The sequence below is a fragment of the Homo sapiens genome, chromosome 5 (genome assembly GCF_000001405.40).
Source record: "Homo sapiens chromosome 5, GRCh38.p14 Primary Assembly".
Lineage (NCBI taxonomy): Eukaryota > Metazoa > Chordata > Mammalia > Primates > Hominidae > Homo > Homo sapiens.
In genome coordinates, this window is record NC_000005.10 from 11,778,435 (window position 1) to 11,804,376 (window position 25,942).

Below are 25,942 nucleotides of genomic sequence, written 5' to 3' on the forward strand. Positions count from 1 at the left end.
TGTCAGCATCATCAGAGATGAGCCATGCTTGACAGGATGAGCCCATAATATAAGAATGGTACTTTACTCTGTGGTCTCTTCCCCTAAACCTATAATCTCAATTGAATCATGTGGAAAACAGAAAAATCCTGGTTGAGAGATATTCTACAATATACCAGACCAGTACTCCCCAAAACTGTCAAGGTTATCAAAAGCAAGCGAAGTCTGAGAAACTGCCACAGCCACGAAGGATCCTAGAGAGACCTAACTAAAAGTAATGTGGTGTCCTGAATGGGATCTGGAAAAGGAAAAGGATACTGGAGAAACATTGAGGAAATATGAATGAACTACAGGCTACACTTAGTAATAATGCATCAATATTGGATCATTAATCATGCCAAATGTACCATGCGAATGCAAAACTTTAATAATGGAGGAAAGTGGGTGTGAGTCATATGGGAATTCTCTGTACCATCTTTCCAATAATTCTGAAAACTTAAAACTTTTCTAAGATTTAAAAGTTTCTTTTAAAAATCCCCCAAAATCAGTTTAAGCAGAAACACTGGCAAATATTGACACATCCTTTAAACATATCTTTAAAATTAGAACATATTTCCAATGCCCCATCTTTTTATGGCATGACAGGCCTTTTTTGGGTGTAAGCCTCTGGTCAGAAGGCCACAGCGTCCTCATGCATGACGCATGGTGTATCCGCCATATGTTCTTGTTTCAGTTAATTTAAAGAGGCAAGGAAAATCAGAAGACCCTGAAACATACTGAGTGTAAAACAATTTTGAATTTTTATGAATTTTTTAACCATATATTTTTAATGTTTTCTCACACACCCTAATTCAACAACTATTTTTGTCTTCTCACTCTCAAGTACTTATCATAGCTTTTACTAAGACAATAGCTGTCTTTCACACTTTATCCTCACATTCCATTGGTTTAGTGCTATTTACCTGAGTTATCTATTGATAACACAACAGGCACAAACAGACAAACAGGTATGGAAGCAAGCCCTGTTGACTCCAATCGACCTAGTGGGGGAAGAACTGCAGGCTGCCTTGCAGAGAGAGGGTGCCCAGCAAGGTGCTGGCATCAGTTCCAAATGTAACATGGGTTATGGCATAGCCTGTAACAGGAATTATGACATGGGTTGGTAGAGCTGGCAAGTCACTTCGATGGAGATCAGCTGGTATTACAGCTTCTCCTGCACTTCAAATATCTACCTTGGTTATATGAGGAGTCGCCACTTGCTGATGTATAAATATCAAATGGTTTTAGTTTTGTCCAATAACTGCTACCTCTTGTGATTTGTCAAACTTCCTTTTATACTGGGTGGCTGGTTTCCTTAAAAATAGTTCAGTTTAATGTATTAAATTTCCAGCAATTTTAGTCACTGAAACAGTATCATTTAGCAAACAGGACTTGATGGTTGTCCATTGTAAGAGTCCATCATCATTCCTAATTCCATCTTCCCCTCTCTAGCACACACGGTAAAGCAAGGACCTTTCCCTGCAACTGCCCTCTCTCTTCTCTCTTTTATCCCACTAGGATTGGGGGAAGGACAAGAGGAAGATAAAAGCAGGGCCTCCATTTAACCTTCCCTGTTGAGCGTGATGGCCCCTTCCTGGGAGGGACCCCACTCATCCAGTTCCTGGAAAAACGAGAGAGGAGGAGCTGAGACCTGAGTATCTACTGCAGACAGTAGTACATTGAAGGCAGGGCCAGGTCCTGAAGCTGACCGCCTCTGGGATCTTCAAGTCACACACCGTGTCATCCCCTAGAGTGCCAGCAGTCCTCATCTCCTCTGCTCTTTGCCACCCAATCCTGAGCCCCTAGGTACAGATTGGACCCTTCTTTCTTACCTCTCAGAAACCAGGAATTCAATGCTATGCCAGCCACCTCATCACATCTTCCCCACAGCCAATTTGAGTAGGACTGAGAAGTAGATGTCATCCTCTATTCCACGTGCTGTCTCCCAACTTTCCCAGTGATTGTCATGACCTTAGAAAGACTGGAGGGATGGCTGCTGCTCCCAGCAAACTTTGCCCACAGCCACCTCACATCTTCCTCTGCCCTCTCACCTGGAGAGTGCAGAGGCTATGGGGGACATGTTGAAATAGCAGCTTTTATCTCTGAGCTAGACTCCACAGCCAGCAGGCCTCTGAACTAGAATGGGATTGAATCCAGGGACCCCCATTCCCACATGCAGCAACTAGAAGATCCCTAGAGCCACATCCCAAGTAAACAGACATTTTTCTTGCTGGATCCTACAAGGAGGGAGATGCAAAGGGTAGGAGAGGCTGGCCCAGGATTTTCTAGAGTAATAGAGGTGACACACAAAGCTGAAGCTGAAGTTGCTTAAAATAGGTGATGCTTTTCCTGTGACTGCACCAAGGCCAGCCAGCCCTGGGGGAAATCCTGAGCAGTGACACAACAGATGACCCACGGAGCCACTGCAAGCTGGCCAGTGATGTCAGTGTTGGGTGAAGAATAGGTGAAGTAGCCTGCCCAGGACCATGGATTTCTACAATAATTTATTTACCCGATAAAGTGCTATTTCCTTCAAATTTAAATGTTACAACCTCCTTAGCCTTTGTTCCAAGCCAACTACTTTACTTTCCTTTTAAAGGCACTGCTTTAGTGAAACACACTGATAAACTGTTTTCAAGGTAGGCATGGAAGAGAAGAACTATCATTAACACACACCTGTTGCTGCCAGTCACTAGGGGTTTGGCAAATATTATCTCACCCCGCAGCAAGCAAATGAGAGAGAGAACACTAATCCAACTGACAGAGGAGGGATCTAAGGAGTGTTAGGTGGAACCAAGATTGAGCTTCAGCCCAATTAAAAAAAATAAAAAATAAAGCTTATGCCTTTCCAATTTCATGCTGCGATTTTCCATGATGGCATGCTAATCTATCAGTTCCCTAACACAATCATTTTCTGAATGCTGAGTTTAACAAAGCCACAAAGAAATATGAGGTTTCTGAGGAAGCCAGCCTCCGCCCTTTAGGAAGCTTATAATCAAATGTTGGGGATTCCTTTCCCCCAGGAGTCTGACTTTTGCTTTTTATTGCCCTTCAACTTTTTGCAATACAATTTATAATTTGAAGAATATTTGATAAAACTGCATGATGTTCTTTGAACACAACCTCTGTTAAGACAGGTTTTGAAATGAAGAACCATATATATGAGCAAACCTCTGTTTTTGTGTTTTGTTATGGATAATTTACACAATACACAATTTATACAGTTACAAATGACTCCTCAACTCTGAACCAGGTAAAATAAACATTTCATTACTGATCTTTTTTTCTTGGAACTTCTCCACACTGAATTATACTCAAGTGCATCACAATTACCCATTTGATCTTCTCCCCGTGTATTTTGGACCTACCATCTAATTTATAAATACTAACTACCTGTAAATGCACTACTTTTAAATTATAGCTACAATGATTTTTAAATGTGCCTATACTTGGGCATCATCTAGGGTTTCTAAAAAATATATTGACACCTGGGTCCACCCAAATCTCATCTTGGATTGTAGCTCCCATAATCCAACCACGTCATGGGAGGGGCCTGGTGGGAGGTAACTGAATCATGGGTGCGGGTCTTTCCCATGCTGTTCTTGTGATAGTCACATGAGAGCTGATGTTTGTACAAAGGGCAGTTCCCCTGCACACACTCTCTTGCCTGCCACCATTTAAGACATGCCTTTGTTCCTCCTTTGTCTTCCACCACAATTGTTAGGCCTCGTTAACCATGTGGATCTGTGAGTCCTCTTTTTCTTTATAAATTACCCAGTCTCGGATATTTCTATATAACAGTATGAAAATGAGCTAAAACAGCCCCCAAGAGACACGATGCAATTGGGCTCATGCAAATGTTTGAAAACCAGTGCTCTACTGAACACTAAATACAAAAAAAAAGCTGACCTTTTGTAAACTTACTACGTTTGAAATTTTTAAGAAAATGAGATAGAAGGAGATTAAACCTAAATTATCCAGATATCTGAATGCACACTCATGAGGGCAATAAAGGTCTGAGAAAAGGACCTATTATGTAAATTCCAACCATGTGTACCTGGTGCCCACATGGAGGTATAAAACAAGCCTTCATAAATGTATGTTTCTCTTGTGAAGTCTCATCCTTTGTTAACTAGTGCTAAAATAGTTTAATAATGGTTACATTCCACTACGACGAATCTATTTCAATCAGCATTCCAAAAAAATTTATTTGCTTGGTCCTTAATTCAACCTCTTTTCTTTTTGAACTGTCTGGGTTCACTGTGAAACGCTCAGTATCTTTCAAACAACCCATTATCCTATTCCATTATGAGATTCAGATTTCATTTCTCATCTATATGTTGATCTTTCTTTTACATGCTTATAATCAAGTCCCCAAATCTGTGATGTGAGTATTTTCAGGGACCGAGTAAATAATCACACCCATGTTCACTGCTCAAGTTAGAGCCAAGTAAGAGACTCAGAAAGGATTCAGATGAAAGGACATAACAAGTTCTCTTTTGGTGCTGGTCTAGTGGACATTGGAGAACATGGCTTACAGCTGTGGCCCAGAGGGAATCGTGATGCTGAAGCACATGCATGACTAGAACAAGCTACCGGGGCTGCCTTTGGTCAACTTAATAAATTATGAAGAGGCTCATGGAGGGGCAGATCCCGGAGAGAAGAGAGAGAGGTTGAGATCATGTGTCTAGCTCTTTCTCCCAGGCTCCCCAGTCACCCTAAGGAGAGATGAGCGAGGGAGCCAAGAGAATGCAGGAGAATTTCCTAGTTGGTTTTTCTCCATTGCATAGAGATATTCAGTATACTGCAGATTTGCTTATGACCTCCACTGACAACTGTCTAATATGCACTATTATTTCATCTTGACAGCTCTCCCCATTTGCTACCTGCAATTATGTAATCTGCTCTATATCTAAAAACCATTCTTCTGCACCCTACTCTCAGGAATCTGCCTCTCCACTGGCCCTCTTCATAATTTGTTAAGTTGACCAAAGGCATCCTCAGTGGGTTGGTCTAGCCATGTATGTGCTTCCGCATCGGGATTCCCTCTAGGCCACAGCCGTAAGCCACATTCTCCAATGTCCACTAGACCAGCTTGGTTTTTCATAATGGTTTTTAGGTATAGAGCAGATGACATAACTGCAGGTAGTAAATGGGAAGAGCTGCCAAGATGAAATAATAATGCATATTTGACAGTGGCCAGTGGAGATCATGAGCAAGTCTGCAGTATGCTGAATACCTGTATGCAATGGAGGAGAAACTTCTTTTGACTACTTTCCTCTTTCCCTGTGGAGGCACACCAACCAGGAAATCCTCTAGTGTAATGGTTTTTAGATATAGAGCAGATGACATAATTCCTACTTTCCTTCCCAGAGCTATCAGGTGAGGAGGCAAGGCCCTGACTACTTGTGCTATCTGTCTCTTCTTAAGGACAACTCTATAGATGTCTCTCGATGGCACCCTGGGTGAGAGATCACTTAGCAGAAAAGTGAGAAGAGTCAGGGAGTAGACTTGTGAACCACCCTATAGAGCTGGTGACCCAGCCACGTTCAGTAGATGGACCACATACCATGTCCACAAAAGTTGTTGCAAAACAAACCAGAACAAAAACAACAACCACTTATAGAACACACTAGGGAATAAGCTGACTTTTTGTTGTGATCAGTGGACAAATACAAACTGGATACTGTAAAAGAGCTATTGTTGACCTGCTGAAAATGGCATAAGCAATAGAAAATAACACTGGTTGAAACACACAGGCACAACATCAAACTCATGTCCATGGAATTCAAATGGACAATGGGAAAATATAAGAGAAATGAAAAAAGGTAACGTTTTAAATTCTTGTGAAAAATAACTTGATTTAAGTGGTTAACAGGTGAAAATAATACAGGATCTGTCACATATTCATGACTCAAAGAATATCAGTGGTAACTGATTTTAGGAGGTTTTTCTTGGGGAGGGGGATGTGATAGGCAAAACTCTAAAATGACCCCCATGTAATCCATATCCTTTTATTATCCTCTCATCCACAGATGTGGAAAAGATCTGTAAATACAATGGGATATCCTTCCATTGATTAGACTAAGTTACATGACAGATGCAAAGGGATTTTTCCAGATAGAATTAAGGTTGCTAAGAAACTGACTTCCAGTTAATCAAAAGGAAATTTATCCTGGTTGAGCGTGATTTAATCAAGTGAACTGGTTTTAAAAAGTGCCTAGAGATGAAAGCCTCAAAGCAGCAGATGTTTCTATTGTTGGCTTAGAAGAAGCAAACCCCATGAATTCAACCACCAACAGGAAAGGAATTCTGCCAACAATCTGAGATAGCACTGATGTAAGTGGGTCCACTCCCCAGTCAAGCCTGCAGATGAGACCACAACTAGTCAATGCCTTGATTTCAGTCTAATGACACCTTAAGCAGAGGACCAACTAAGCCAAGCCTGGACTTCTGACCTTTGGAAATTGTGAGTTAACAGGCATTGTTTTAAGCCACTAACTTTGTGCTAATTTGTTATGCAGCAACAAATAATTAATATGAGGATAATTTGCACCAGTTTTCTTCTATTGTTCTTGCAACTTGACTATACATATAACTATCTTGCTCATAAGTGCATACAATGTAAAAATAAAAAAATTTCCCTGATTAGAGTTCTTCATCATAATACCTTATACACAGGCTTTTTCCTCACATCAAAACATAAATTGTTATTGTGTATATTGGTAATTATAATACAGTGAGACATAATTAATGTATCCCAACATTATAGTGTTCACATTTACCTAGAAGATGAGGATGATAGTGTGTTGGTCAAAAATAGTCACAAGTTATTTTGCAAGCCATCTCTTTGGAAACAGGACAGATACAGATTTTAAAAGGAAATATCATGAATAATGATGGCTGGAGTAAAGAAGGGTTAATTCGGATTTTTGAACAAAATAACCATATAAAAACACTTTTCAGTAACTTGAACATCAAATATAAAATGTTATTTTTTAAAAAACTAAGTTCCAATTTAAAGTGAATAAAATATGAATTGGATGGATAATGTATGTTCTATCAAAATAAATCTAAACTATTTAACACAGTAGGAAGCAAGCATTAGATGGAAATATGCTACTAACATATGTTAATGTGGGAAAAAAGGAAAGTGTAAGACAGAATGTATAGGAGTATCCCAAACTCGCAGGTTAAATAGTGGAAAAAAAAAAATCCTAAAAATTATTATCAAAATCTACCTTGCAGAAAGAAGTATGTTGGTAGAATTTGGAGGCTGGGTTACTAGCATCTTCCCCAACTTTATCAAAGAGGGTAATTTCCTCCCCCACTTTTCTCCTTCATAGGGGAGGGAGTAACAAACACATCAGTACTATCAGGACAGGGTGTTTGAACTTGAGCACCTTTCTGGGTCTGGAAGCCAGCCATGGAGGGGAACTGCCCTGCTGCAGGAACAGACTCTTCATGAGTCAGCCTCTTGGGCTGGACAGCCAGTGCCCGGGGCAGTCATGGAGGGGGGTCACACTGCTGCCGCTGTCACTCTCACCAACTGCACCCGCAGCATTTCCTGGGTGCCCAGACCAGTGCAGAGCACATGGCTCACCTCACCCTATTCGACCAGACCCCCATTCTGCAAGTGGGTACATGTAACAGCGCGGCAGCAGGGCTGAGCTCTGGGTACCCAGCCATCTCACAACAACCACAGGAGCCACTCAGGGGACCAGGCCAGCTGGCAGAGGACAGGGGCTGCTTTTTCTTTCTCAGTAATCACAATTCACTTCTACAACTGTCATAATTCCATTTTAGAAAAGTAAAGTGTAAGACTGCCCTCTCAGAAGGGAATTCATCAATTTGCATATTTCCTGGAGACTTCTTTCTGTTACTCTATTAATTTATTAACACTTTTTAAAGTGATGCAGTTTCCCAAGATGCTCTCTGTCTGATAAATCATTGAGGTGGTTATAAATAAAGCATTACACCTTAATTCCCTAGGTATCTAACCCAGAAAACTAGATGCTACTGATTTTCTACAGAGATGTTCTGAAAATTAATTGCTACTGATAATTCAATTCTTCCCTAAAATCAGGAAAGGCTGAAGCAAGATGGGCAGATAAAATGTTTTCAGATGCTAGACAGAACAAAAATGACAAAGACAATGTAAACCTATGCTAGGATAATTAAAGAAAGTTTGTGCCTTATTTCGGACTAAAGAAACTGAACTGAAGGAGAAAATGGACTTTTCCTGAAGATCCCTCTCCTTTAGTTTTTTGTTTGTTTGTTTTAAATCATTTCCATGAATACACACTTATCTTGAATTATCCAAAGTTCTCACACTGTGCTAACTAACATACTGAGCTTGTAGTTCCCAGAGAAATTTTAGGGTTTACCCACATTTTCATTTTATTCTTGAACTAAAGTCACAACATTTTCCCGAATAGAGTTGGGGGACAGAAGTAAGCATATGAAAATGTCAGAGGAAGGGACTCTGCCTTCCTAAAGCTTGGCCTCCGCAAACATGCAAAATTGTTTAAACAATAAGGTCACATCTCATCAGCAACTTAGGTTCCTCCAGACCTGGAGTCGGCAGTATGTTTGTGATGCTATGGATGGAATGATCCCATGACACTAATATAAAAACTTCTGGACTATGCGATAGTGGACAAGTTATTAAAGTCCCTAAAATGTAGGGATTGGGGAAAGCAAGTCTTTATTAGTACCAATAAATTTTCTTAATTTAAGCAATGGCAGCTTTACATAGTATTCTGAACAACTAGAGCTAAGCAAAACTGTTACGCATGTGCACAACTAGTTTGGACAGTCTGTTGATAATCAAGATATACTAAATGTCTCCAATTATGTTAACAACTCGGCAAGATTTGAAAGCGAACATAAATCATAGGTAAAATAAATGCAACAACACTAATAACTGTAATGCATGACTTACTAGAAACTATATTTCAGCCACTTTTCTAGAGAATCATTTACACGCCAACATATCTAGCCACCACAGCCACACCATGAAGTAGACCCTTCAGTTATGACTAATCTGCCTGCAATTGATGTACTTATTATGTAAAGCATTTGTAATGTTACCTTTTTATTTCTTAGTAGGTTGAATTTTGAGCATTTTAAGATTTTTTTATTAACAGAAAGTATTATTGGAACTCCATTTGAAATACTTGGTTGGTTATATTGGAAATCACTGAACTTTACACATTCCCATAATTTAATAAAGGAAACTCTGAATGTGTATGTCCATGTCTGTGCACACGTGTGTGCATCCATGCCTGAACAATATGGATTACTTTGTACAGTTATTCTCGAGCTTTTAGTAGGTAAAGATAAAATAGAGTTGCATTTTGTTAGGGGAATTTTTCTATTCCCTAGTGAGATTGTGTTCAGTTCTTAATGTACTTTTCCTTAGAAGTGCAAATAAATGAATATGAATTGACAGGATCCTATAAATTAGTAACACTGACTTTCCAACAAAACACAGTAGACATTCATTTATAGAACATTGCTCCCTATAAGTTTACTGCTTTGAAGAATATATGCTTAAAATCCAATGATATTTCATTGTTGAAATGATATTTGAAAGTGTTTTTTAAGAAGATTTCAAAACAGAACTCATTACCTAATGATCACATCTAATTTTTAATTCCAGTTGATGCTTCTCAGTTTGACCAACCGTAGCCTTAAAATAACCTTGGTTAAATTTTTTAAAACTAAAAATTCAAAAAATATGTATCATAATATTCAGGACTCAAGACTTTCACAATTTGGCTATTAAGGTTATTCCCACACATCAACATTAAATCAGTCTAATAACTTCTTGCACAAGACAGTGTGCTAAGGACCCCTAGTCCTGTCCTCAAATCTGTAAGAGGGCTGCCTTCACTCCAGCAAAGAGCAAGTATCATAACTTTATCTCACATTTTATACTTTTTAAATATTTAGGGCCTTTAATCAACTTGGAATTTATGTGTTTAGTGGGAAGATGAAAATCTAATATTACTTTACTTTTCCATATAGACAGCCAAAGATACCACATTAAGACAACAGCACTGATTGAAAAAGTCTCCTCTGTTTCTCCCTTATATATGAAATTCTCACATACGTAGAAGTCTATTTCTAGTTATATCATTGTTTTAAGAGCTTAGTGATGCAATCCATGTAAATAAAAACAAGCACAGTGCTCATGCATACTTTGTCTTATTAACATTATTATTATTATTATTTATTATACTTTAAGTTCTAGGGTACATGTGCGCAATGTGCAGGTTTGTTACATATGTATACATGTGCCATGTTGGTGTGCTGCACTCATTAACTCGTCATTTACATTAGGTATATCTCCTAATGCTATCCCTCCCCCCTCCCCCTACCCCACAACAGGCCCTGGTGTGGGATGTACCCCTTCCTGTGTCCAAGTGTTCTCATTGTTCAATTCCCACCTATGAATGAGAACATGCAGTGTTTGGTTTTTTGTCCTTGCGATAGTTTGCTGAGAATGATGGTTTCCAACTTCATCCATGTCAAAGAAATGCATATCAAAACCACAATGAGATACCATCTCACACCAGTTAGAATGGCGATCATTAAAAAGTCAGGGAACAACAGGTGCTGGAGAGGATGTGGAGAAATAGGAACACTTTTACACTGTTGGTGGGACTGTAAACTAGTCGACCATCATGGAAGACAGTGTGGTGATTTCTCAAGGATCTAGAACTAGAAATACCATTTGACCTAACATTATTACTACTTTCTAAATTATCCTGGATTATTTTGTTCACTTACATTTTCATGTGACTTTCTGAATCAATTTTTTGCCACTCCTGAAAAATCTTCTTTGGATTTTGGAGTGGGAGAGCATTAAATTTGTTTATTAGGAGTAATTTTCTCTTGCCTTCCCATTCACAAACCTTCTACTGTCTCCTTTTATCCTGTTCTTCTTTATGAGCTTCTATGAAATTTATCTCCTAAAAAGTTTTGCATATTTTTGTTAGGATTTTATTTATGCATCTTATAATTTTATTATTTCTGCGAGTAAGAATATATTTTCTATTATATTTTCTAGTTATTTATGGCTGGTATAGAGGAAAGCTATTGATTTTTGTATTTTGAGATTTAATCTGAATATCTTAATGGACTCATTTTTATTAGTTATAATAGCTTTTCAGTTACTCCCTTGGGTTTTCTGGGTATATAGACTATAAAGTCTACAAATAATGCCATATTTCTTGCTTCCAAATCTTTTTACCCCTGCCATATTTAGAATTGCCTAGTATCTCAAATACAATGTTGAATATTGGAAGTGATACAAAGCATAACATTCCAGATTTTAATTAAAATACTTCTCATATTTCACCACTGAATATAATATTCTGATTGGTAACTCCTTTACAAGTTTAAGAACTTCCTTTTATTTTATTCTGCTAAGAGATTTGTTTTTTAACCAAGATTGGGTATTACACGTTATCAAATGTATGTTGAACATCTGCTGAGATGACCAGAAAGCCTTTCTTCTGACTAGTATTAATGTACTAGTTTTCATTCATGAGTTTTCTAATATTGAGCCATCCTTGCATATTTGCAACAAAACATGCTTTGCTATAACTAGTTTTTATGCTTCGAGGATTGAATTTGCTCCAGTGTTTAAAATTGAGCTGGACCTATCATTTCATTTACTGATTTCCATTTCTGGCCGGGTTACTGGGGTATCCTGTATTGCTTATCTAAAAATTAAATTTCTCAAAAATAAACTTTTTTTGGTTAATCAATTTGAATTGCATCATGTCATTCATTTGTCAGTCTTTCCATTATCCCCTACTCCAGAAGAAGTTTCAGCCACTTAGTGCCTGCCATATGCTTGTTGCTGTTCATTAGAAAAACATTTCAATATGAAGTCCTGGAGCCCTCTGAGTTGACTGACAATGTCATAGAGGTGTAGATTGAGCATGGGCTTTTGAGTCAGAGCTGACAGGTCCCCTTACTGTGTCAGTTTAAACCTATGCTCTCTTCCTTTGTAAAATGAACATAATTCCTACGTTATATGCTGCTGTAATGACTGAGTAAGGTAATGCTCACAGTGTACCTAGGGCACACAAGATTTTCTACACGTAATGATGTGCTGATTTTTCTTGATGAATGTGAATGTGAACATTTGCTTCTTTGAATATGTCAGCCTTGGTCTCTGCATGTTGAGTGATGCATAGAGTTTACACAGTAAATCTACAAATATCACTCATAAAAGAAATGTTTACGGGTAGTCCTTTGAAAACAAATTGGCATTTATTTACAAAATCAAAAGTTAGATACAGACCCTGGGACAATCTGACAGTGGAGGGAATGAACACCATGTGGTAGGGTCAGGAGCCCACATAGCAATTGTCACAGAATGAATGGTATTCCCCAGATAGATACGTTGAGGGCTTAATTCTCCAGTATCAGTGAACATGATCTTATTCAGACATGGGATTTTTGCAGACATAACTGGTTCAAATGAGGTTACACTGGGATGGGATGGGCCCAATCCAACAGGACTGGAGTCCTTAAAAAAAGAGAGATGATGATGTGAAGACACTGGCACCCTGGGAGAACACCATGGGAAGACAGAGGCGGACAGTGGAGCAACATATCTACAAGCAAGGAATGCCTGGGGTTACCAGGAGCTGGAAGAGGCATGAATCCTCCTCCAGAGATGTCAGAGGGAACATGGCTGTGCCAACACTCTGATTTCAGATTTCTAACCTGCAGAAGGGTAAGATAATACATTTCAGTTATTTTAAACCACATAGTTGGTCATACTTTGTTACAGCAGCCTGCGGGGTATGGGCAGGGGGTATCTCATGGATCAGAGCCATGAAATAACTTAGAGGTTCAGGTTGTCAAGCAAACCAAGAGGAAGACCGTGCAACAAGAAAATGCTGATATTAAGCCAAATGTTATCTGAGCTAGTATGAAAGCAAGAACATGTTCTCAAGTGCACACCAGCTAGAACAAATGGAAGGAAATGGCCGAAAGGGTCAGAGAATAAATGGCATAAATGCCACGATGGCTACTTATGTTGAAGATTTATTAAAAGTGCATCAGATGCTCATCAATCCACTAGGTAATGGGTGTGACTGTAACTGTTAAGTATATTTGATAATGTATTTGGCAAACGTTGCCATAGAAACACAATTTCATGGAACAAAGAAACACTAGCTTAATCTCCAATGTAATTTTGCTATGAAAGTGGTTCACGAAAACGAATCTGGGACATTGAGGCTCTTTCTTGCCTCAGAATTAACATTTATCCTATTAATTCATTACTGCTAAACTTTGGGATCCATAATCTTTCCTAGGTAGTATCAATCTCAGTCTTCAGAATTTCACCCTCCCCATCCCTCCCTATTTTCTGAGTGCTGAGAGAAGCAAAGTCAATTGTTATTCTAACTGATCAGATACTCTAGGCAAACAAAATGCAGTCATGCTGGTTTCACACTGGTCAAACAGGATCAAAGATGAGGATGCCATGCCAAGAAAGTGGGTGACTGCATTTAACATTCTACAAATAGAATTAATTGACTTGCTGTCCAAGTCATATGATGAAGCTATTCTAACTCTGGGAATGAAACCAGAATTTCTCACCATCAATTCTCTTTTCTCTTCTCTAGACCATGCGGTCTCAAAGTTTTTATTCTCCAATGATAATCAGTTTAAATGAGAGAATGCCTGCCAAACCCAATGCTCTAATTACATAGTTAGGAAGAACTGATAATAATTATTGCAATGTTCTACCCTCAAAAACTGTTAGGCAATGCTGACTGATTTAGATACCGAGACACAATTTTCTTTAAAATACACACACACACATATATATTTTAAAAACTGTCTAAATGTGTACATGCCACAAAAATCCATCATTAATGATTGTTAGCATAAATTTGTAACTAGCAAAACTAGTTCTGAGGCTTATGTTTCGCTTTCCATTTTTAAGTAATTCAAAAGTATTGGTTAAATCAATGAATGCATGAATATTTTATTAACATGGTCTGCAAATATAAGAAAGAGAAAAAGTCCTGAGATGCTCCTTCCCCACATATTTTTGTGCAAGCATGAACGCTTTCAAATATTTAAATACAAGTACAGCAGGGGTCTAAGAGGAAGCACATCAAGGCCGATGAATTGAGTGTTCAAGATATTATTCATGCCTGACATGGCTTTTTATAAAATTACACTTCTTGTCACCTAGAATTTTACTGATTCTTTCTTTTAATTATCAAATTCCATGGTTACTTCCACCAATAAAACAGCAATGTCCTCTTAAAAGAAAAATATTCTAGCAGCACACAATGCTTCTATTCTGCTTCCATTTCCTCTTTCCCTACGGAAGGCTTCCTTGCCAGATTCCATTCACAGCCAAAAAACTCTTGCCAACAAAGGCTTAAAATGATAAACTAACTCAGGGATAAATGGCAGAAGCCACATTTATTTAGGGGGAAAAAACGTCCACATTTACAGAACTCTCTAATACATATCATGATTTCCCAGCGATGCATTTTAAGTAAAATTAGAAATGCTTTAGATGGCTAAAAATTCTAATGCAATCAATTTTCATAATTTTTTCCATACAATGGACACTAAGGTAACTGATGTCGATTTCCACAGATAAAGAATTTGACAAATATTTTACAGTTTGCTGTGCTATTGGTTTATGGGGCTCCCGACCCTTACTATAAATGTCCACTCTTCACATAGGCCCAACAGGTGGATCTTTCCGAGGCCCCACGTCTGATCTGCTCTGCCTACTTGCTCCTCTCCATTTTCCATTTCTCAGGAAATGGCAATTCTGTTCCTCTAGTAATTCAGTCCAAAAAACCTGGATTCATCCTTGATGCCTTTCATAATGTCACACACAGTATTATTGGTTACAGGATAAACTGTGTCCCTCCCAAGATTCATATGTTGAAGTCCTAACCCCCAATACCTCAGAATGTGACCCTATTTGGAAATAGGATTGTTGCAAATGTAATTAGTTAAGATGTGGTCATACTGGAGTAGGGTGAGCTCCTAAACCAATATGACAGATGTCCTCATGAAAAAGGGAAATATGGACACAGACATGTGCACAGGCAGAACGCCATGGGAACACTGGAGTGATGCTGCCACCAGCCAAGGAACTACCAGAAGCTGGAGAGAGGCCTGGAATAGACCCTTCCCTAGCACCTGCTGAGAGAGCATGGCACAGCTGACACCTTGATTTCAGACTTCTGACCTCCAGAACTGAAGGTAAATTTCTGTTGTTCTAAGTCACTCAGATTGTGGCAATTTGATACAGCAGCCCTAGAAAACTCATAGAGTGATCAGTCTATCAACCAATCACATTGGCTTTTGATACCTATGAAATTACTTACAAATGTTTTTCTTCTAACACTGGGGTTATTTATTCCTAGATGTTATTCCTCATGTGACAGTTTTCATAGACATAGTATTATCTCTAGGTTGACTCCCATATTTATGGCATATACTTATTTTGAATTTACTGAAAAGAAACACTGTATGGTGTAAAGCGTGTTTTGTTGTTTTCTCCACCCTTGGTGACCAATTACAGGGACACTGCTCGCCCACTGCATGTCAGTGTACCATATCACACCTTGGGAGGGGCTGCCCCTGGCATTAGGCCAACTCCTGAAACTATCATAGTATTCTTCATTCACAGACAAGCTTCCAACATTAATTCTCTTCCCTAAGGAATTTTATTTCTGGAAGAGGGATGAGTAAATGGCACCAACTGGCATCCTCAAAGTTACTAAGCACCATCTACTGTCCCCGTATTTTAATACATCCATGGTAATTATATTATTTCCATCAGTCTGCTGAAAATTTAAACACTGATCTAAACTTAGAAAAAATGGTGTATCAACGTGAAACACAATAGCTACTGATAAAAGGCGTTATATAATTAGGTGATAAATTGTGTGCGCAGATGCTACATGCTGTAAGAGATCAGAGCGGCCTTAGATCAATGAGAGCGCACCAGAGGACTGGAATCTTGCTGTGTCAATTTGTGTTTTTCTCTTTGATTTGCTTTGTCATCTGTAGACTCTTCTTTGTTTTGGGTATTTTTAAGTACTTAGAATTAATTTACAATATGAAAGCATAACTTATACATCTTTGTCCACAAGGAATGCTGAGTTTTCAACAGGACTGTAAGATGATTAGTTGCAAGCCAGTAGGGAGCAAGAACTATAAACATCAGTCATTTACAAAATTAGAATTTATACCATCTTTTCTCCCACGTATGAGTGATCGACAGGATATAAAATAAATGCTTAGGATCCAAGCAGATGGGTTTTCTCCATTTGCAAGACTCCAAGTCTTTCTGGGTAAGGAATGCCTACTTGGATGCTCTTTTGCATCTGGAATGGTTTAAACATTCCTATTTATGATTCGTAGGCTCAACACAAAAAACTCATGGTATTAGCCCCATACAAAATAAATGTACAATTATTATTTTCCCAAACACTACTATATTTGTATTTACCATATTTTCCCATGTATTTTTTACTTCTCCCTTTTCACAACCTTATGCAATTGGATAACAAACAATAAATTAAAACGTTCTTCAGGGACCATAAATATTCATTTATTTATTTAACTCATTTAATTTAGAAACAAAGAGTGAGTGTTCCTCCTGTGTTAGACAGTGTACTACGTGCCCTGACTCCAATGGAGGGCAAGTAAGCCTTACTGCCCACAGGGTGCGGCAGTAGCTATCATAAATGCCAAGAATGTCTTTATTTAGAAGGCCAAGGAAGGTCTCTGGAGGAAGCGACCCTTCAGCTGAGCCATGACATAAAAAGAGGAGTGAGCAAACTAGCAGGTGAGGATACAAACCGCAGGGAAGGAATAAAAATCTGGAAGTGAGATTTAACATGGTTTAAGGAGATTCCGTTTATCCTACAGGTAATGAGAAACCACTGAAGAGTTTTCACTTTAGGGGACTGCCATCATGAAGTTCATTTTAGGATCCCAGTCTGTGACTCCAGATTTAGTGGGTGGGAGAAGATAGGGGAGTAACTGGCTAAGGGAGACCAGTGAGGAGTCAGATTCCATCATCTTGGTTAAATGTAGCGTGGGAGGGATAGAAGGGGAAATGAAAGAACTGAACTGCTCTGAGACAGGTTTAGAATGTGGACCAGCCCAGACACAGTGGCTGATGGCCCATGATAGCTGAGGAAGAAGACAAAGATTTCTTGGGAAGGAGAATATGGTATCTTAAAATCCAAAATGTTATTCATGTATGAGAAATAGCCATTCAATATGGAGATGTGACTCTTCTGTCTTACTCAGTAAGGTTTCTATTGTTGGTGGAGAAAAGGTTACCACAGACTTAGTAACTTAAAACAACACAAAGTTAGTACATTACAGTTCTTTAGGTCAGAATGTCCACACAGGCCTCAGCAGGCCATATCAAGCCATTAGCAGGTCTGTATTCTTTCCTGGATGATCTGGCAGAGAATCTGTTTCCTTGTCTTTTCCAGCTTCTAGAGGCCACCTGTATTCCTTGGCTCCTGGCCTCCTACCTCTATCTTCAAAGCCAGCAATGGCAGGTTGAGTCCTCTCCTGACCCTCCTCCATCATCACCCATCTGTACAGACACACCCAGGGAAGGTTCTCAGCATTTAGGAACTCACGTGATTCTATGTGGCCCGAGAGGATGAACTAGTTCCTCTGCACCTCCCACATTAGCTGAGTAGCAACCTCAACTGCATCTGCCATGCTAACCCCCCTCACCGTGCAATGTCACATGTTCACAGGTTCCAGGGATTAGGACAAGGTCATCTTTCAGGGCTATTCTTCCACGAACTACACTGATGCAGCATTTCTGCCTACACATGCTAGTCCACATCCAGCCCAATTACTTCCCTAGAAACTACTTTTGCACTATTCTCTTCTGAACAAAGCATATTATGGGCCACATTCTTCCCATAGAGCCTTATCTGAGAGGCTTTCATTTGCAGTAATATTTTAGCATAATCCTATCAAGAATGATTTCCAAATAAAGGGTATTTTGTCCCTTTGTACCTATAACATTGCTAAAACCTTATCTCATCCTTTGTGCTGCTTAATTTACTTCTTATAGCTTTCCTTCAAGGGCATATAACATTTTCAAACATAAGCATTTGCCCATTTTTAAGGTAATGAGCCCAATCTGTTTTTTGAAAATGAAATAATATACTTAAAATCATATGACTTAGGGCTGTTTATAGGATGTCTTAATTTTTCAGATGGTTAAGTATTACAAAAATCTATATAAAAACTAAACCTCAATTTACACCATCCATTTCCTACATTTTTATAACAAAACAGTAGGAAAATATATTGCTGCTAAAAATTAATAGTTACAGAAATTGTGAAAAGCTCAAGAGAAGTACTACTTCTGGTGATAAAACTTAAAAAGCAAATTATCAAGGAATAGTATGTAACTATTATTGTCTTTGATGGAGCACAGGAGTGAGGAATTTTACAGAACTATTGTCCATAAACACTGGATTGTGTTTACATTTATCTCATTGTGTTTATATGTATCTACTAGCAGTAAAAAGGCAAGTATCAGGGAAAAGAGCCATTACAGATCCCGAAAATGGCAAAATTAACTGAGGAAAAAGGTTTCTTTGACATTGAGATTGGCTTTACAAATATTTTTCCTAAATGAGATCTCCTAATAAAACAACTAGGAAAAGACTTTAAAAGTCTCCTCCATTCACCACAATTGAATGAGTGATCACCGATCATTTCGGTGTGAGTAACTCTGATATGCACACAGGGCAGTGGGGATGCTGCATTCCCGTCATTGTCACAGCCTGGCACTTGCCTGCGTCTCACCACAGGGTGGAGAATATTCCTGGCCCCCAGCCAGGACTTCCAAAATGGGGCAAGGATAAGTGGAATTAATTTTCCCTCATTTTGGATGTATTCCAAGTTTCAGGGTTCAGTGGTATCATTACCACAGGATCAAATTGTGATCAAAGACAAAAATGCATAAATATTTTATAGAGTAACCAAGTGTAAGCTTACAACTCCAAACTAAAATGTTTAGTATTAAATGCTATTCTCAAATATTCACCTCTAAGCTCCCATCGTCCTCATTATGTACTTGAATAATTTAAATATAAATGATGTAGTTATATCTCTGAATGTGGAAATTTTATAGAAGTAAAATTATGAAAATAATAAACAATTTTCAAACTTCTCAACAAATGTTTGCTAGTATCCTAGAAATTTAAGATAACATCATTTCTGGATTTGCATTTTATTTATCTTCTTGTATCTATGTATATGAATAGTCTAAATTTGTAGTATAGTTGCTTGACTTTACTTATAAAAAGACAGTGCCATAAGTTTCCTTTGCCCCTCTGTAACAATGCATGCAACAAAGCATGTTTTGTATGTTTATAACTGTTTTAAATGACTTTAGTTTAAAAGTACCACAGAGCAAAAGTTAACAGAGAAAGTGTCTTAATAGTTTGTGTTTTGGCTGAGCTTGGTGGCTCACGCCTGTAATCCTAGCATTTTGGGAGGCCAAGGTGGGCAGATCACCTGAGGTGAGGAGTTCGAGACCAGCCTGGCCAACATGATGAAACCCCGTCTCTACTAAAAATACAAAAAAAAAATAGCCAGTCGTGGTGGTACATGCCTGTAGTCCGGGTTACTCAGGAGGCCAAGAAAGGAGAATCGCTGGAACCCGGGAGGCGGAGGTTGCAGTGAGCTGAGATGGTGCCACTGCACTCCAGCCTGGGTGACAGAGTGAGACTGTTTCAAAAAAAAAAAAAAAAAAGGTTTGTGTGTCTTCAAACCAAGATATCAATTTACTTCTTTAAATTTTAAATATTGTAAATGCTATTTTCTTTTAGTGGGGAACTATTTTCATGTATGTTAGACTCTTTCTACTCTTCTGGTAACCACTGATTATGCCAGTGTGCATGTGTGTGTATGAAGTGAGAGTCCACATGTTTTAATGTCATTTTCTACAAAAACAGAGGATTTGGCCAGGTGCAGTGGCTCACGCCTGTAATCCCAGAACTCTGGGAGGCCAAGGCGGACAGATCATGAGGTCAGGAGATTGAGACCATCCTGATCAACATGGTGAAACCCTGTCTTTACTAAAAATACAAATATTATCTGGGCCTGGTGGTGCGTGCCTGTAATGGCAGCTACTCGGGACGCTGAGGCAGGAGAATCACTTGAACCAGGGAGTCAGAGGTTGCAGTGAACTGAGATCGCGCCACTGCACTCTAGCCTGGGGACAGAGTGAGACTCCGTCTCCAAACAAAAAAAGGAGGATTTATATGGTTGCATTTATCTCCATATAACAAGTATTTCAGGAAAAAAAAGTAACGTTTTGTGTTAAAACGTACTGTATACACTTTATGGGCCATACAAAACACAGTATAAATCATGACTTTAAAATGTTTGTGCTCTTTATCATATAAATAATCACTATTTTAATGTGCAGAAATTAAGGGAGGTAACAGGCAGTTTCATTCATGTACAAGAGTGCTATCTCAGGATTCTGAAATACTTGAGGCTGAATCCTGGTTTGTCAATATTCTTTTTTCCTTGCTGAGTGATCCTTGAGTAAGTTAACCTCTATAAACCTCAATTCATACTAAAGATTTGTAAAAATCTTTAGTATACTAGCATTTATATTTAGGTCTTAAATCATCCATCACATATTTGTTCATCGTTTTAAAACCTTTCTACACACTCTCCAGGTGCTTCATGACCATTTTCTACTTCACTGGTGTAGTTTCCCATTCTGTGATTCTATCTTAAATTCTAGGGTAGTTTTATGTCACTGGTGATGTTTTTAATCCTGTATTGTTTTAATTTACCACCTGCTTTCTTCCTTTTTATCTCTGAATAAAGATATGGGTTCCTTGGCAATTTCCAAGTCTTTGTTTTGAGACAGAATTTCATGGCTTACAGTTCAATGTCTCTTTCTTCTTCCTCCCGTTGAGATGTGTATAGTTTTCAAACATTTTACCTTCTCCAATGGCTTTTTATCAACTTCTACTCCCTGTTTTTATCTGTTACATCATTTTCAATGCATTTTTGTTCACTGACACAATATACAGACTTTTTTGTGGAATTTAATAGGAAAAGACATTAGCTGTTATTACTACCATATTATGAAATATCCCCCCCTTGCTCTGTCCATATCGCTACTTGGATAAAGAGGGAGAAGTTTAATATTTTATCCATGCTAGCAATATTTTGAAACATAATGAAACAGCATTCTAACTGCACAGACAGTGATAGATACTATTAATGTTGCACTTAAGTTGTGTCAGGCAAGCTACTGTCTACAGATAAAAATGAGGCATGAAAAGTTTATGTAGTTTAGTCAAAGTCACACAACACACAAAGAGGAATGCTAGATTCAGACTCATATCAAAACACTCCATGCATTTTCTACTACTCCAAACTCCCTCTTCAATTATTTTAAGAAGGAATTGACTAGGGTGGTAAAGTTTGACATTCCAGAATTTTGGACTAGCTGCCCATTTAGCCACTTACTACTTTAACTAAGGAACTGAATTCATTTCTCTTAGCCTCACTGTACTTTTTCTAAAATTTAAGCAATGACTGTCAACTTCATGTGTTAATGATACAATGAAATGAAATTAAGTATATATTAAAAAGTCTGAAACATAATAAGTGTTGAGAAAATATTTGTTGAATGGAATTTAAACCTTCAAAGAATTACTCCCACTATAGAGTATCAATTTTGGTTTTCCCTCTATAGTCACCTATCAGTAAATAGGGAACTTCTGAGAAGAACTGAAAGCAAAGATGATTCAATACGATATGGTTTAAAGATATCTGAGTTTCTAACACTAAAGAAAAGCTTGAAGACATAGAATACCTGGAAACACACCTTTCAAAATTCAATATAGATAGGATCTACTCAGGATTGTGGTCATGAAATTACATAGTACATTTAAAGATGTTATTGAGCGTGATGATCTAATTAGCAGAATTAATAAACAGAAACTGACTAGCATACATCCCTTAATTTATTCACCATAGGTCAGACCTTTACTGTGATACTACTGTGTGCCAGACACTCTACTGAGCACCAAGTGATGAAGGAAAAGGCATACCCTTCCGTCCATTAGAGAAACTTCTAAAAAAATTTTTCATTTGACTCTTCCACAGCATATAAACTAATGATTGATAAACATAAAGTCAATTGAGATAATTAGGCAGAACAGTTTCTTTTAGTAGAATAACAGCATTGTCTCATCATATTCTCAGCTATTGGAAAACCTAATCCTTCTCACTTAGAATTGAGTATTATATTTGAAATCCAAAGATAAAGTAATAGATACTTTATAAGTCTTATTTATAAATCACAAAATACATTTTAGAATTCCCTTCTCTTGCTTTCATTACTTTCAGAAAATACTGTTGTTAAGTAGCAGTAACATGCTAATTTTCTAATGAGAAGGTACATACAGAGTTTCACGACTGTTTTTCAAGAGGGTGTTCTTTGCATCTATCAAGGCTAAAAGAAAGAAGGTATTTAAGAAGCTAATTTCCTACGGGAATAATATAAGGTTTAAACACTTTCAGGGCTGTTCTTCCATAATTATCTTTTACAATTTTATCTTCCAAAGTGAATACACTCTTTTGTCGTTGTTGTTCTGTGAGTTAAATAGCACACTGGCAAAATGTCTTGTTAGCTGATGGGTACCAGTTAAGCATGGAGGTTTTTTGTAAGTTTGCACAGTGGTTTTATTTTCTGAGCCAACACAGAACAAATGTAATAATGAGCAAACTCTTACTCACCTAGGGTGAGTAACAGTGATAGCTACATTTACTAAGGGCAGAGCATCCGACTGATGATACAGTTGCTTCTGAACCTCTTTTAACTCTCACATCTGTTTTTGGCTCTGTGTTTAACAACAAAACCTGGGCTTTTCCTCAATTGCAAATGAACTAATTTGAATAGGCACAGAGATGTGTAAAGGCAACACTGGTTTCTTCTTACCTATGATAATCCAACTATTATAGTTTCCATTTTTGCAATGTTTCTGGCAGGACATTGTAACTAAGAGCATTGAAATGAGATAGCTGGCACCCTCCAGGTATGTAATTGGGAAAACTCCATAGGCAGCAACCAATTTTTTTTTCTTTTGTATATGCTTATATGCCCTTAGTTATACTGTATTATTTGGAACTGGAAATTTTACTCTATGAGCATAAATATAAAACCAGCATCTTTTTACTTTAGTAAAGAGTAATTCTATAGCATCCAATAACTGGACAATAATCAGTAATTCTGAGTTGCATATAGTGATCTAAATAGCAAATGTGTATTTTACAGTGATTTGTTTAACAAAATAAGCAATTGCATTCTTGATCCTATAATATTTGGAATAACACCTTCCAAACATATAAAAAATGAAACTACCACCCAGAAAATGCGATACATTTTTCCCAAACTTTTCTGCAGGCTCGAGTGTGTATCTATTAAAAATCTTCTACCAGGCATGGTAGCTCATGCTTGTAATCCCAGCACTTTAGGAGGCCAAGGCAGAAGGATCACTTGAAGTCAGGAGTTTGAGACTAGCCTGGCCAAAATGGTGAAACCCCATCTCTACTAAAAACACAAAAATTAGCCATGTGTGGTGGCCATGCCTGTAATCCCAGCTACTCAGGGGGCTGAGGCAGGAGAATCGCTTGAACTCGAGAGGCAGAGATTGCAGTGAGCTGAGATCGCACCACTGCACTCCAGCCTAGGCGATAGAGCAAGACTCTGTCTTAAAAAAAAAAAAAAGTCCAAGTGCAGTGGCTCATGCCTGTAATCCCAGCACTTTGGGAGACTAAGGCAGGAGGATCACCTGAGGTCAGGAGTTTGAAACCAGCCTGACCAACAGGGAGAAACCCCGTCCCTACTAAAAGTGCAAAATTAGCTGGGCGTGGTGGCGCATGCCTGTAATCCCAGCTACTCAGGAGGTTGAGGCAGGAGAATTGCTTGAACCTAGAAGGCAGAGGCTGCAGTGAGCTGAGATCGTGCCATTGCACTCCAGTCTGGGCAACAAGAGCGAAACTCCATCTCAAAAAAAAAAAAACGAATCTTCTAATCATACTATGTAAGTATTTCAGTTAATTATGACTTGTTACCTTGTTACAGTGTATACACTTTACCAGGTCATATATAATAAAACCATGAAATTAATTGCTATATAGTAGCCCACTGTATGGCTGTTTACTAATTTACTGAACAATTTCCCATGATTATCTATTTCTTCTTTTTATGATAAATAGCAATGTAATGAACATTATTTTATCAAATACATATTCATTCAACTAATAACTTTTGAGTCCCTTCTATGAGCATGTGCCTAGGAAATATAATCTTTGTTCTTAAAAACTTATAGCAGCCCAGATGTCATAAACACCAAATATCAGTGACTCTGACATATTTCAAGACACCCAGATTGTGAAAAGAAGAGAGGGGAATATTCTCAAAAGTTTGTTAACCAAAGGTAAGTTCATGCGAGACCTTTAAACCATATTAAGAAGTTCCAGGACTGGCGTGGTGACTGACGCCTGTAATGCCAGCACTTTGGGAGGCCGAGGCGGGTGGATCACGAGGTCAGGAGATCAAGACCATCCTGGCTAACATGGTGAAACCCCGTCTCTACTAAAAATACAAAAATTAGCTGGGCATGGTGGCGCGTGCCTGTAATCCCAGCTACTCAGGAGGCTGAGGCAGGAGAATCGCTTTAACCAGGGAGTCGGAGGTTGCAGTGAGCTGAGATTGCACCACTGCACTCCAGCCTGGCAACAGAGCGAGACTGCGTCTCAAAAAAAAAAGAAAAAAAAATATGCACAAGAGTGCACAAGAGGGGTCACTGAGAAATTTAACTTTTTGCTTTTGAAAAATCATCTTTGCTCCAAAGGGGAAAAGGAATCTGAACTGTATAAACTTGTGCAGAGCAGGCTACTGCTAGCAGCTACTTATGATAGGATGACATAAAATAGGGCACTGAATGATATTTCGGAGGTAGACGCTATAGGATTTCTGGATCCACTGAACTGAAGATGAGAAAAAGAGTCACTGAATGTTAAGGCTACCGAAATATTAAGGAAGTGAACCCTCTGCCTGTCACATGTGACTCACACAGCTCACGTTCTAAGGTTTTGCAGGCTGTCATTGTCTAGTGCTTCTCCACTGTGAGACGAGTTCACTTCCTATTCCACAAACTGTTTTTCTCACTGTTTCAAAGGGAGATCCTACGACCCATTGAATTTTATATCACTCGTCTTATAATTCACTGTTGTATCACCAGTGCCCATCCTCCCAGATATCTGGTCTGCAATATTGCAATATTTGAAATTTTTCTTTTTTTTTTCCACTCATTTTTCTCCTCCAATCTAGTCAGTAAAAAATCTTACTAAATCCTGGCAACCTCCATTTTTTTAAACTCATTTTTGCTCCAACCAAGTCAGTTAAAAATCTTACCAAATTTTAGCCACTGGCCTCTGTTCTGAGGACTCCTATGAGTTCTGTACTTCTATAAAGTCTTCACATTTTGTGGGGCAAGACTCTGACAGGGACTTCTAGGCAGATGCACTTTTAAATACAAGTCATGGTTTCTGTTTAACAGTATATTACACATTAAAACAATCATGAGATACACTATACAACTATTAGAATGGCTAATATCTAAAAAACCTGACAGTAACAGTTACTGTCGAGGATACAGCACAACAGGCCCTCTCATTCACTGCTGATGGGAATGCAAAATGGTATAGCCATTCTGGAAGACTGTTTGGCAGCTGCTTTAGTATACAACTAAATATAGCCTTACTATGCTATCCAGTCTTTATACTCCTAGGTATTTACCCAACTTATTTGAAA

General features: G+C 38.3%; 1 protein-coding gene across 6 annotated transcripts in view, besides 1 other annotated feature; it reads right to left on the reverse strand.

The window, feature by feature from the left end:
- CTNND2 (catenin delta 2) overlaps nucleotides 1-25,942 on the reverse strand; it is a 932,611-nt gene that overhangs the window by 806,599 nt on the left and 100,070 nt on the right. The window lies entirely within an intron of this gene.
- Nucleotides 18,574-19,104: an enhancer, noted in NCBI's record as "NANOG hESC enhancer chr5:11797120-11797650 (GRCh37/hg19 assembly coordinates)". NCBI's record gives its function as "activates a minimal SCP1, AML or CMV promoter by ChIP-STARR-seq in primed H9 embryonic stem cells {active_cell/tissue: H9 hESC(primed)}" and the evidence as "EXISTENCE:reporter gene assay evidence [ECO:0000049][PMID:30033119]".